The sequence below is a fragment of the Homo sapiens genome, chromosome 11, assembly GCF_000001405.40.
Source record: "Homo sapiens chromosome 11, GRCh38.p14 Primary Assembly".
Classification (NCBI taxonomy): Eukaryota; Metazoa; Chordata; class Mammalia; order Primates; family Hominidae; genus Homo; species Homo sapiens.
Genome location: NC_000011.10, coordinates 9,075,132 through 9,089,229, shown reverse-complemented (window position 1 = coordinate 9,089,229; position 14,098 = coordinate 9,075,132). Strand labels below are relative to the sequence as shown.

The 14,098-nt window shown below is 41.7% G+C and overlaps 1 protein-coding gene across 33 annotated transcripts in view; it reads left to right on the top strand.

The window, feature by feature from the left end:
* SCUBE2 (signal peptide, CUB domain and EGF like domain containing 2) overlaps positions 1 to 14,098 on the top strand; it is a 72,124-nt gene that overhangs the window by 2,370 nt on the left and 55,656 nt on the right. For all 33 annotated transcript variants that reach the window (XM_047427364.1, XM_047427365.1, XM_005253036.5 and 30 more), the window contains exon 3: positions 9,721 to 9,846. In XM_047427364.1, coding sequence (XP_047283320.1) covers positions 9,721 to 9,846 — 126 coding nt within the window. The remainder of the gene's footprint in view (positions 1 to 9,720; positions 9,847 to 14,098) is intronic.

The following is a 14,098-nucleotide window of genomic DNA, read 5'->3' as shown; positions in this document are numbered from 1 at the left end:
GCCAAGCTTCAGAGTACACCAAGGACCTTCCTCGTTTGGAGTTACAGGTTCACTCTGGAGAGATGTGTGCAGAGGGGCATTTTAGCCCATAGAGCTGCAGGTCTGAGAACCTGTGGTTTGGACTCTGCCATTTTATAATCTGGACTAGAGTCATGAACTGTGAAGTTCATAGCTGGCCAGAGACTGGACACTCGAGGCTGTTCCTGGAGATGGAAATCATGACACATTGGAGCTGACTGGGCTATTCAGGTAGCTCTGGGCCAATGCTATTACTCATTTCACAGATGGGGACACTGAGGGCCAGAGGAGTTGTGGCCATGATCACACAAGTTGCCTGCAAGTGAAAGAAAGTCAGGTCTCCACCCCTAGCTCTGTCCCCAACCCCACGTTTCTCATATTTACTCAGCCTGCTGCTGTCCTTCTTTGGATGAGTGAGAAATCCCACTGTCTATAGTCATCCCTTGCAGGAAGAAATTAGATGAGGAGCACTGAACTCATCTCTGAGTATCCCTCCTTGCTCCTGGACCCAACCTTGACAAGTATGTTGGTGGCCCCTTCCTCTTCGAGAGGTTTTAAACTCTTTAGAACTTGGGCTTAACTCCCATGGGAATTGATCTTCTGAATACTTGCAGGATCTAAAGCTACACAATGAGTAAGAAAGTCCTTCCAAGTCTCTTTCCACTTCGAAAAACATATTAACTTCTTTAGATGAGGAGGAAAACTTTTTTGAGACAGAGCTTTGCTCTTGTTACCCAGGCTGGAGTGCAATGGCGCGATCTCAGCTCACTGAAGCCTCCTCATCCCCGGCCAGGAGTGTGAGACCAAGCAATTCTCCTGCCTCAGCCTCCCAAGTAGCTGGGATTACAGGCGCCTGCCACCATGTCCAGCTAATTTTTGTATTTTTAGGACAGACGGGGTTTCACCATGTTGGCCAGGCTGGTCTCAAACTCCTGACCTCAGGTGATCCACTGGCCTCGGCCTCCCGAAGTGTTGGGATTACAGGCATGAGCCACTATGCCCACCCAGAGGAGGAAAACTTTTAATGAGTGTCTATTCTGGTGCCATTTAATGGCCTAGTGTCCAGACCCTGATGTTTCAAACCAATCTGTTTCATACTGTGGCCTCTGAGTAATAAAGATTCTAAATATTGGAACAGTATATAATGCTCAGCAGTGCCTGGTACATGGTAGACACTGAATAGACATCCTTATTTTTGAATAAGTGATTGTGTAAGATGGGCTCAGTCTACTAGCACCTTGACACAAAGTCTTTTCCAACAAACAGACAAACCCACAAATGAAATATCTAGATACAGAATATACAGATGACCAAGTAGGTAAGTGACTGTCAGATGCTTTTGCAGTGTTGTAGCAATGACCTGATCCTCCCTATCCACCCATCTCCTTGTCTTAGCATAGCTGAGACAAGAAATGGGATCTTTACAATGAACTTTGTTACAAAGGAAGGGAAGACCAAAAGAAAATATAGACAGCAAATATGAATAACAGATGGGATTATGACGGGCAAGTTTGGATCTGGTGACACCCCTTGGGATATCATTCAGGGAGCTCCCCTTTGTGCATGAGGAGTGAGGCTCCCACCGCTCCCATTGGAGAAGGTGTGGTCCTGGTCAGGTGCATAGCAAGTGGGGTTGGTGATCCATCCATGAAGTAGCTCACGCTCTCTCTCTCTTTCTCTCTCTCTTCCCCCCTCCCCCTGCCATGTCATGGGAGGCCAAAAGGCTATCTCTCCCCAGAACATTTATCTGCTGATTCCTCCATACCACACACTTTCGGTATTAAATATTCTATTTGCTGTACTGGAATTCACACATGTTGGTACCCTGCTTTGGAAACAAATGTTCACTTCTTTACTATGTGGATAACTCACGTCCTCCAGTTGCTGTGTGCTCTCTGGTGGCACAAAACCATTCCACTGACTTTATTTAGATAAAGTACACTTTTAGTAAATGATGTTAAATGACAATTGGCAAGAGTTTCCTTACTCTTGGCTTTTGAGTTTGATATATTTCAAATGAAATTGAATTGCTAACAGTTTATAGTTGAATTGTTAAAAGTCTATTATTTAGTTTAAAATAACTAATGATTGACTGGCATTGTGCCATATATATATATAAATTTATTTTAAAATGATATGTGATTGTTATAAAAAGTCAAATAATACAAAATGTGTAAAATAAAAAATTAAAGAGCCTCCCATCCATTTATCCACAGATAGTCATGGTTAACAGTGAGCATACATCCTTTGTACTGTCGTTTGGAACTCAAACCCTAGAAGAATTTGATCTTTTGAATATTTGTAGTATTTACAATACTAGTAAGTAAGGATGTCCCTCTTTTTTTTTTTTTTTTTTTTTGAGATAGAGTCTTGCTCTGTCACCCAGGCTGGAATGCAGTGGTGCAGTCTTGGCTCACTGCAACCTCCGCCTCCCAGGTTCAAGCAATTCTCCTGCTTCAACCTCCCTAGTAGCTGGAATTACAGGCGTGCACCACCACACCCGGCTAATTTTTGTATTTTTAGTAGAGATGGGGTTTCACCATGTTGGCCAGGCTGGTCTCGAACTCCTGACCTCAGATGATCCACCCACCTTGGCCTCCCAAAGTGCTGGGATTATAGGCGTGAGCCACTGCGCCCGGCCAGGATGTCCCTCTTAGTTTGGATTTCTTGGTATAGGAGTACAGAAATGGAAATTTTCTCCCAAGAAGGAAAAGGAGAGGAAATGAGGATTGCAAGGATTCAAAGATGTAGATATACAAAGATGTAACTCCTTTATCCATTTCTTGGCCTATTAATTTTTGAGCCTCTTGGGACCAACCTATGGTATCATTTGGGTTGTGATTATTGCCAGCTTCACTACTCATATTTAAGTTCAGGGATGAGGATCAGGTTTACTCAGAGTAACTAGAATTTTATCTTCCATAAAGTTTTCTTCTGCCAAAATGTTGGAGAAATGTGTGAGCCCTGAATAAGTGGGTTTAAAAATAATGTGATTCAGACGTTGCTTTAGGTAATCTTTTATTCTAAATGATCTTTGCTTATTTGCTTATTTATTGTATGGTTCTTACTTCTCAGTTTGAGGAATTGAATTGGCTCACGCCTGTAATCCTAGCACTTTGGGCGGCTGAGGCAGGAGGATACCTTGAGCTCAAGGGTTTGAGACCAGCCTGGGCAACATAGTGAGACCTTCTCTCTACTAAAGGTCAAAATAATTAGCTGGGTGTAGTGGTGCGTGCCTATAGTACTAGCTACTCCAGAGGCTGAGGTGGGAGGATCACTTGAGCCCAGGAGGTGGAGGTTGCAGTGAGCTGTGATTGCGCCACTGCACTCCAGCCTGGGCAACAGAGCAAGACACTCTGTCTTAAAAAAAAAAAAAAAAAAAAACTAAAGAGATTGAATAAAGTTTAACAGGGATGAATCTAAAGTTGGCCTTTGTACAAGATGCTATATTTTTCTTTTCTTTTCTTTTTTAATTTTTTTATTTTTGAGACACAGTCTCGCTTTGTCACCCAGGCTGGAGTGCAGTGGCGTGATGTTGGCTTATTGCAACCTCCGCCTCCCAGGTTCAAGTTATTCTCCTTCCTCAGCCTCCCCAGTAGCTGGGACTACAGGCGCCCACCACCACGCCTGGCTAATTTTTTGTATTTTTAGCAAAGACGGGGTTTCACCGTGTTAGCCAGGATGGTCTCTATCTCCTGACCTCATGATCCGCCTGCCTTGGCCTCCCAAAGTGCTGGGATTACATGCATGAGCCACCGCACCCAGCCTATATTTTTCTTTTTAAAAAACTTTTTATTTGGACATAATTTTAAATTTCAGAAAAGTTGCAAAAATAGTGCAGAGTTCATCTGTGTATATATATGCCCTTCATTCATTTTACCCTAATGTTAACAACTTACATAACTATAGTACAATTATCAAAACCAGGAAATCAACACTGGCACAATGCTATTAAGTAAACTACAAACTTTATTCAAATTTCACCATTTTTCCCTACCATTCTTTTTTTGTTCCAGAATCCAAGTAAAGTCCCACATTAGATTTAGCAGTTGTGTCTCTTGTCTCCTCCAGTCTGTGACAGTTCCTCAGTCTTTCCTGACATTGACACTTTTGATGAGTACTGCTCACTTCATTTGTCTTAATGTCATTATAAGAATTGATATGAGGCCAGGTGCAGTGGCTCATGCTTGTAATCCTAACACTTTGAGATGCCAAGGAGGGAGGCTTACATGAGGCCAGGAGTGTGAGATAAGCCTGGGCAACATAGTGAGATGCCTGTCTCTAAAACAAAACAAAACAAAACAAAAAATTGCTGGTGTGGTGATGTGTGCCTGTAGTCCCTGCTACTCAGGAGGCTGAGGCAGGAGGATCACTTGAGCCCAGGAGTTTGCAGTGAGCTATGATGGCACCACTGCACTCCAGCCTGGGTGACAAAATGAGACGCTGTCTCAAAAAACAATAATTGATATAAGAGAATGTCTTTGTTTTTTTCATGATAAAATTGAGGTTATGAGTTTTTGGCCAGGCTGCTACAGAGGTGCTGTTGTATCCTTTTCAGTGTAGCACATCATGGGCACATGATGTTAACATGTCCCATTCTTGATGATGTTAACCTTGATTGCCTGAGCAAGATGGGGTTTACTGGGTTTTCTCTGCTACAAAATTACTATATATTTTTTTTTCCCCTTTGCAATAGATACATTTCTTAGGGGAGATACTTTGAGGCCAATATCCTGTTTCTCCTCAAATCTTCATCCACTGATGTTAGCATCCAACTGTGGATCTTGCCTGCAATAGTTATTACTGTGATGTGTGTCTCCTGGTAATTTTGCATTTCTTTAATTCCTTAAACATGTGTTAATTGAAATTCTTCTGTAAGGAAGATCTCTCCCTCGTCCCCACTTATTTATTAATTTATACCACTATGTACTGATGCATATTTACTTTATTACATCTATATTTATTTTTGGCTCAAATTGTTTGCTTTAGCCATTGGAAGCTCCCCACACATTGTCTCCTGTGTCATTTTGACGTCACATTTTTGAGGACTTCCTAACTTTCTGGTACCACAACATGCTCTAGAATCATCTTATAGCTTCTCCTCCCTAGGCCTGGAATGAACTGCTTCTCCAAGGAGCTCTGATTCCTTTTAATGGAAGTGGTCTATAGAAACCAAGATCTGGATGTTTGGTGTTGTCATTGCTACTAGGGTGTCATCATTCCTACCTGGGAAATACATGTACGCATACTCATCCACGCATGCACACGTATCTATATTTATTCCTTTTATTTATTCATCTGTATATATATTAAAAACAATTAGTTAACACTGATACTTTGGATTCCAAACCATTACCACAAGATTCATTCTAGGCCGGATGCAGTGGCTCACGTCTGTAATCCCAGCACTTTGGGAGGCCGAGGCGGGTGGGTCACAAGGTCAGGAGTTCAAGACCAGCCTGGCCAAGATAGTGAAACCCCGTCTCTACTAAAAGTACAAAAATTACAGCACGCCTGTAATCCCAGCTACTCGGGAGGCTGAGGCAGGAGAATCGCTTGAACCTGGGGGGCGGAGGTTGCAGTGAGCCAAGATCGTGCCACTGCACTCCAGCCTGGGTGACAGAGTGAGACTCCATCTCAAAAAAAAAAAAAAAAATTCATTCTATTCTCTCTTTGCTTATTCGTAACTTTCTCCAACAGTGAGAAATCTGGCGCTCATTATCTGTAATGTGTTTACCTCTTTGTTCAGTCCTAATACACGGGAGAGATATTTACAGAATTATAAGTCCATAACCCTGTGAGTAAAGCAGATTTACTAACTAAAGTACAATATTTACTAGAGTATAGCATACAGCTATTTTGTTTTTAGCCTTAAAGCATCCAAGCAAGGTGTTGTTTTTCATAGTGTTATTTAGGTCAATATTTTCCTTCCCCATCCTCTTCAGTATGGTTATACTATTAGTTTATAATACATTAGGTTCATTTGTTTCTTTTCGTATTCCACTTTTATTCACTTCCATCCCCTCCTTCCATGCATTTCCCTTATTCCTTAAACATGTATTAATTGTATGTATACAATTAATTGTATTCATTCTTTCCACCCTTTCCCCGTGCCCTGTGGGTCACCAATCTCTGTAGTTTCTGGTTTTACCTTTCTATATTTATTTTGCACTAATAAGCAGATAAATGTATAATTTTAGATTTCAGAAAAGTTGCAACTTTTTAACAACTTTACTGAGGTGTAATTAACATACTATAATATTCACCAATTTTAATTGTGCAAGTCAGTGATTTTTAGTAAATCAGCTGAATTGTGCAACCATCACAATACAAACATTTTCCTCATCTCAGTAAGATTCCCCGTGTTCTTGTACAGCTAATCCTCATTCCCAGTCCCAGCCTCAAGCAACCAGTAATCTACTTTCTGTATCTGTATATTTGCCTTTTCTGGACATTTCACGTAAGTGGAATCATACAATATGCGGTCTTTTGTGTTGGATTCTTTCACTTAGCAAAATGCTTTTGAGGTTTGTCCATGTGGTAGCTTATATCAGCATTTCATTCATTTTTATCGTTTAATAGTAGTCCATTGTATGAATATACCATTTTTTTTGCCCATTTATCAGTTAATAGGCATTTTGATTGTTTCTACTTTGGGGCTATTATAAATAATATTGCTGTGAACACTTGCATGAAAGTCTTTGTATAGACATAAATTTTCATTTCTTCTGGGTATATACCTAGGAGTGGGATTGCTGGGTCATATGTTGTATTTGTGTTTAAATTTTTAAGAAACTGCCGAGGAGATAATTTCTTGGATATCACACCAAAGCCACATACAACAAAAGAAAAAATAGACAAATTGGACTTCCTGAAAATTTAAAAATTTTGAACATCAAAAGACAATATCAACAGAATATAAAGGCGACTCACAGAATAGATGAAAATGTTTGCAAATCATGTATCTTATAAGGGATTAATATCCAGAATAGGTAGAGAACTGTTAATGTTCAACATTAAAAATCAAATAACGCAATTAAAAAGTGGGCAAAATATCTGAATAGACATTTCAGCTAAGATGATATGCAAATGGACAATAAGCCCATGAAAAGATGTTCGACATCTCTGATGATTAGGGAAACGCAAATCAAAACTACAAATGGGAGCTACTATTCATATCCATTAGGATGGCTACTATCAAAAAAATAGAAAATAATAAATGTCTGTGAGGATGTGGAAAAATTGGAAGCTTTGTGCACCTGTTGGTGGGAATTTAAAATGGTATAGCCACTATGGAAAACAGTGTGGAAGTTCCTCAAAAAATTTTAAAAAAAATTACCATAGGACCCAGCAATTCCACTTCTGGGTGTATACCCAAAAGAGTGGAAAGCAGGGTCTGGAGGAGATATTCGTATGCCCATGCTCGTAGCATTATTCACAGTAGCCAAAAGGTGGAAGCAACCCAAGTGTCCATCGACAGATGAGTGGATAAGCAACATGTGTTATGTACAAAATAATATTTTTGGTTTTTTTTTTTTGTTTGTTTGTTTGTTTTTTTGAGGTGGGATCTTGCTATCTTGCTCAGGCTAGTCTCAAACTCCTGGTCTCAAGCGATCCTCTCACCTCAGCCTCCCAAGTGGCTGAGATTACAGGCATGATATAATAGAATATTAGCCTTAAAAAAGGAAATCCTGTCACATGCTACAACATGGTGGAATCTTGAGAACATTATGCTAAGTGAAACAAGCCAGTCACAAAAAGACAAATACTGTTTGATTCTAAATATATGAGATACTTAGAGTAGTCAAAATCATAGAGTCAGAAAGTAGAATGGTGGTTAACAGGGCCTGAGGGAAGAGAGGGAAGAGGAAATGAGGAGTTATTGTTAAATGGGCACAGAGTTTCAGTTTTACAAGATAAAAAGAGTTAGGGAGATGAATAGTGGTGATGGTTTCACAACATTATGATTGTTTTAATTATATCCAACTGTACATTTACAGAAAGAAAAGAAAAGATACTGCCAAACTCTTGTCCAAAGTGGCTATGCCGTTTTACATACCCATCAACATCCTGTCAACAATGTATGTGTTCCCATTTATCCACATCCTTGTCAACATTTGTTATTGTCTATCTTTTTAATTATTACCATTCTAGTGAATGTGAAATGGCATCTCATTGTGGTTTTAATTTGCATATCCCTAATAACTAATGGCGTTGAGCATTTTTTCATGTGCTTGTTGGTCATTTGCATATCATTGTAGCTGAAATGTCTATTCGAATATTTCGCCCATTTTAAAATTAGGCTGTTTATCTTCTTATTGAGTTGTAAGAGTTTTTTTTCAGTTCTTTATAAGGTGTGTGATTTGCAAATATTTTCTACCAATCTGTGGCTTGTCTTCATTTTCTTAATGATACCGTTTGAAGAGCAAAAGTTCTTAATTTTGATAAACTCCAGTTTATTAATTTTAAAAATTGTGATTGTGTATTTGGTATTATATCAAAGAAATTTTAACCTCATCCAATGTCTTAAAGATTTTTCTCTTTTTCTCCTTTTTTTTTTTTTGAGATAGGGTCTTGCTCTGTCACCCAGGCTGGAATGCAGTGGTGTCATCTTGGCTCACTGCGGTCTCAATGTTGGGCTCAGGCAATCCTCCTGCCTCAGCCTCCCAAGCAGCTGGGACTATAGGCGTGCACCACCACATCTGGCTAATTTTGTTTATTTTTTGTAGAGATGGGGGTCTCACTATGTTGCCCAGGTCAGCAACTCCTGGGCTCAATTGATCCTCCTGGCTCAGGCTCCCAAAGTGCACCCAAAGATCATGCCTAGCCATCCCAATATCTTAAAGATGTTTATCACATATTTTTTCTGAAAAGCTTTATATTGTTAATGCTTACATTTGGATCCCTGATCCATTTTGAGTTGATTTTTGTGTATGGGATGAGATAAGGATCTAAAGTCATCTTTTTGAATATGGATATCCAATTAAACCAGTGCCATTTGTTGAAAAGACAAGCATTTCTCCCAATGGATTACCTTAGCACTTTTGTTTAAAATCAAGTGGCCCTAAGTAGAAAGATTTATTTCTGGACTCTCAGTTCTGTTCCATTGATCTATACCTCTGTCTTTATGCCTGTACCATGCTGTCTTGATAACTGTAGGTTTATAGTGAGTTAAAGTCCCCCAAATTTGTTCTCCTTTTTCAAAATTGTTTTTGCTCTTCTGAGTCTTTTGCATTTCCATATAAATTTTACAATAAGCTTGTCAAGTTCTACAAAAACGTATCCTGAAATTTTGTGTGTGTTTTTATATCTTCTTATTTCTTACATGAAGATAACGTATTACAGATACTCTTTTAATTTTGATTTTTTCATTTAATAGTATATCCTAGAAATTACTCCAAATCAGTTCACAGAGATCTTCCTCATTCTCTCTTTTTTTTAAAATAGCTGCATAGTAGTCCATGGAGTAGAGGTACCATAATTTATTAAACTATTTTTCTATCTATGGAAACTTAGGTTGTTTACAGTATTTTGTCATTAGAAACAACACTGCAGTGAATAACCTTGTGCGTATTTGTTTTCCTATTGTTAGGGATGTATTTTCAGGTAGATTCCTAGAAGTGGAATGGCTGGAGGTAAGTGCATATGTTTTCACATCAAAGAAATAGCACCTGTCTGGTTTACTTCTGTTTTATTCCTCAGACATCGATGAATGTGGAAATGAGCTCAATGGAGGCTGTGTCCATGACTGTTTGAATATTCCAGGCAATTATCGTTGCACTTGTTTTGATGGCTTCATGTTGGCTCATGACGGTCATAATTGTCTTGGTAAGGAAGGCATTTGGAAATGGCAATTCTCCTTCACTCTCCCACCCCTTTCTTTCCCTTGGTGAAGACCTCCTCATGAAGACAAAAACGGGCTCAGAGCCTTGTGTTTTCTGCTCCCTTGGAAGTCAGACTCCGTGATAGAAAATGAGGTAAAATGTTTCAGTTTTATGTGATCATTCATAACATAAATCTTCTGTTAGTCCAAGGAGATGGGTGACATCGTCATTACTATTTATTGACTTTCTAGCATTGGCTTGTCACCTTTTAAGATCTTTGGTCTTGTGTTGAGAGTCCTGACTTATAACCATTTTTTTTTTCAATGCTGTAAGTGTTTCTGTTTTAGAATTTGGAAAAACTCCTTGTCCTGAAGACTCCAAATGTGTGCTGGGGTTACAGCCAGCTAGACCCCCCTTTTTTTCTTGAAAAAGAGAGAAACTAAAACAGAAATCTTCCATGAACATCTTCCTAGTATTCCACAAAACAGAAACATCTGTTGGAGTTTTAGCCCCTGAGTTAGAGACTACAAAGAGTGTTGTTTACATTCATTCCTTATGCCAGGAATAAAACAGAACTTAGAAGCAGCTAGCAGCTGCATGGGGTTGAGTGTTGGATAGTCTTAGAGGATGCAGCACTCCTGGCAGATAGGTATTTGTGGTTTGCTTTTTAAGGCTGGTATTAGTTGTACAGGAGAACATCATGGGAAAATATGGCATCAGCGTCCTTTGACACTCACGACCCTTCATATGGATAACCTGCTGAGGTCTACTTGGCCAACTAAGGAGCAGCGGAGCCAGGCCCTGGCTCTGTGGGGACAGCCATTCAGACGCCCCCTTATGGTGTGGTAGGAATGGCCCTTTGATTAAATGCTTTGAGATCTGCATAAAAGGAACTAGAAAAAGTCCAGACAGAACTTGTGTGTTGTGTGTTGGGGCTCTGGAGTGGAGGAGAGGTTATTTCCATTTGGGACTTAACCCTCATATGACCTTTATCCCACTTCAGTGTCTCCTGGAGCTCCATCCTGATGGACTCTGTTATTTCCTGTTGGTGCCCTGTGTGAGAGATCAGGCTTTGGGTGACACATCACGTGGCTTTCCAAGCCTGCAGCTGTCAGTAAGACTTGATTGCAGGTGAGGGAACCAGTAATCTTCTAGGCAGTCAGTACCACAAAAAGGCATATTTGAGAGACAATCCTGAGAGCAGGAATCAGTATTAATTAAAAACTCAGACAAATGGAATCACTTTCAGTGTGTGATTTGTTGGGAGGCATACCACATGGGTTGCTCTTTTTTTTTTCCATTTTCAGGGGGAAATTTCCCTTTGACTTGCCAATGAGGGCATTTGGAGGATGCATATCTGATGGCAGACTTCATCATTACTGTTGTGCTGTAATCCACAGCCCGGGGTGGCGGGGGGTAGTATAAGGTTCCTAAGAGCAAGAACCATCCAGGGGCTAGGAACCTGGGCCAGGGCTGGTGGGCGGCTCTGAGTATTGGCCTGCTTGGAAACCCTGAAGGCAGAGTCTTTTCTTGCCTTTGCCGATAACACAGATATTATCAGCACAGAGTATCTCCATTTCCCCTCTGTGGGATCTCTTTGTGGACTCAGTAGCAAGGATCTGCCTTGCAGAGAGACCTTGAGCATCTACTGAGTATTTCTGAATGGGGTAAGGACTCTTTAAAAGGAAGGCACAAGAAAATGAAGTACATTTGGAAGAGTAGGACCGGCACACATAGACACTTCCCCAACATTCAGATTTGAAAGGGCTGACCCAGTTTGTGGCAAAAAAGAAGCTCAGAGCCCTAACTTCTCCTGAGTTCTCTGGGATGACCCCTTCAATCTCCTCAGCCTCCTAACCACACATTAGCCACAAATATATTAGCTAGAAGACACAAGGTACAAACACCACTAAGCTTTGGCACTAAACACAGAGCACTTCAAGATCCTGAATGCCTGCAAGTCTGAAAAACGAAAGGCAGCTCTTCTATACAGCTCACCCCATCTGCCTTCAGTTTCTATTTTTGGAGTGTCTGGGAGCTCATCATAGCTGTTTGGCTTTGTAGCAGTTGTTCTTAACTCTGGCCGCACACTGGAATCACCTGAGAAGCTTAAAAAAAACCATCACCTAGACTTCATCCAAGACTGGCTCTGTCAGTATCTCTGGAGGTGGCATCCAGGCCTCAGGGTTCTGACACATAGCCAGGGTTGAGAACCACTGTTTTATGGTCTGGAGAAGCTCACCAGCTTAGTGATAGATATTTGCGTACGTGGACACACACTTTTGTATTTATCCAACCACAGAGCATCAGCTAGCTGAATGACACATTTCTGATTGCCTTGGGGAAAAGAAATTGGGGGTTAAACGTGGGGTGGGGGTGTGGTAGCTCAGAGGGGAGCACATCTTTACTCGCAGCCAATCCAGGAGTTGGTGTTCAGGGAGACAGACCTCTCCTGCTCACCTTGAGTCTTGCTGTGGAACACCTAGGCCAGGTGTGTTCCAGCACGGCTCATCCTCTGGAATGTGCTTCCTTCACCCTTTGGCATAGACAAGGGCAAGTTTGTTAGGCTTCAGGGGATGGCTTGAGTCCCATCAGTTTAGTCAGACATCTGCTCAGTAGTGTGGGAGGACAGAGGACTATAAGATCTGAAGCTTGAAACCAGATAACAGATATTTAAATGTGAGGTTTTATTATTATGATTATTATGGATATGCCCAGGAGCTAGTGATTAGCACATGAGAAATTAGACTGGAGAAAATAAATTGATTTTTTATATCAGCCTTCTCTTTGAGCCTTTGTTGTCTGAAACTTCTCTGGAAGTTTCTCTTCTCTGGCTCGGGTGATGCTATCCTCTCCTGCTTGTTTGTTCATGCATTGAATAGTTAATGAGCGCCTGCTGTATTCCAGGGCTGTGCTAATTAAAACAAAAATCTCTGTCCTCAAGGAGTTTGCAATCTAGTAGAGGTAGATGAGTAAAGGATTTTGAGGCTGCAAGTCAGTAAGTGTAGCAATACAGCTGTGCACAGGGTATCACAGGCAGAGTGGGAGGAAGGTCCCCTAAGGCCGCCCTGACAGTGTGTGGCAGAAGGCTTCCTCCCTCCCTACCTCTCTGCTGGCTCCTTCCCTGGAGGCTCTTGGGACTCCTGCCATCTCCTCTGCCTCCTCCCTGCCCCTGGCAGGGTCCGGGATTCTACCTCTGGCTGTCTCCTTTCTGCTCCCTTCCCACACTCCCGCCTTTGGCTCTCTCATCAAGCTCCACCACTTTATCAGGCAACTACAAATAAATGATTTCCAAAGCTGTGCTTACACCACCAGATTCTCTTCCAAGCTCCCCACTGAGGTTTGCCACTGCCTACTGGACCTAGCCCTACATTTCAGCATTTCAGACAGATCACCTGCCTGCCTTGGGGGTCAGGGGCAACCATATCTCCATTCCCATTTCTGTACCCAGCACTGGCCTTCCATGTGTCCCTTCCAGAAGGCCTTGGTGTCAACTTTCCATCCTCTAATGATGCCCACCCCATAGCCCACAAGGCTCCCAGCCCTGCAGGCACCTTGTCCGCCCAGTCTTCTTCTCTGGCTTGGTTCCCAGCATCCCTGGCAGCCGCAGTGCTGTCGCCACTAGCGCTAGCTGTGGCTGTTGCAGATGCATGTGTGAAGCTGGACTCCCAGACTGCCCATTCTTCCCCTCCCTCTGTCCTGCCCTCAGCTGCTGCCTTGTATTTCTCAAAGTGAAGGGCCAGACTCTCTCCCCTACTCTAGTGGTTCCCAGCTGCTTCCCAAATTAAGTAGGCACTTCATTGCCTGGTATTCAGGATCCCACAGTGTGACCCCAGTCTGTCCTCCCAGCTGTATCTCCTGTAACCTCCCTCATGTGCCCTATGCTCCAACCACATGGGCTGACCCACTGGTATCTGAATGTTCTTCATGCCTCCCAGCCTTTGTGCTACTGCTTACGCTCTCTTCCACCTATAATCCCTTCTTTCCTGATTTATAATTGGACAATCCTAAGGGCCCATCTTTTATTAGCTTATCCTTAATTCATCCCGATACCCCATGACCAGATGTGATTTCTTTCCTTGGTACCACCTTTTATACCTTATATCAGAATCATTTGTATATTTGTCTCTTGCTGAAGGGCATGCTCCTAGAGAGAAGGATTTTTTTTTTTTTTTTTTTTTTAGATGGCGTCTCGCTCTGAGGCCCAGGCTGGAGTGCAGTGGCATGATCTCGGCTCGCTGCAACCTCCACCTCCC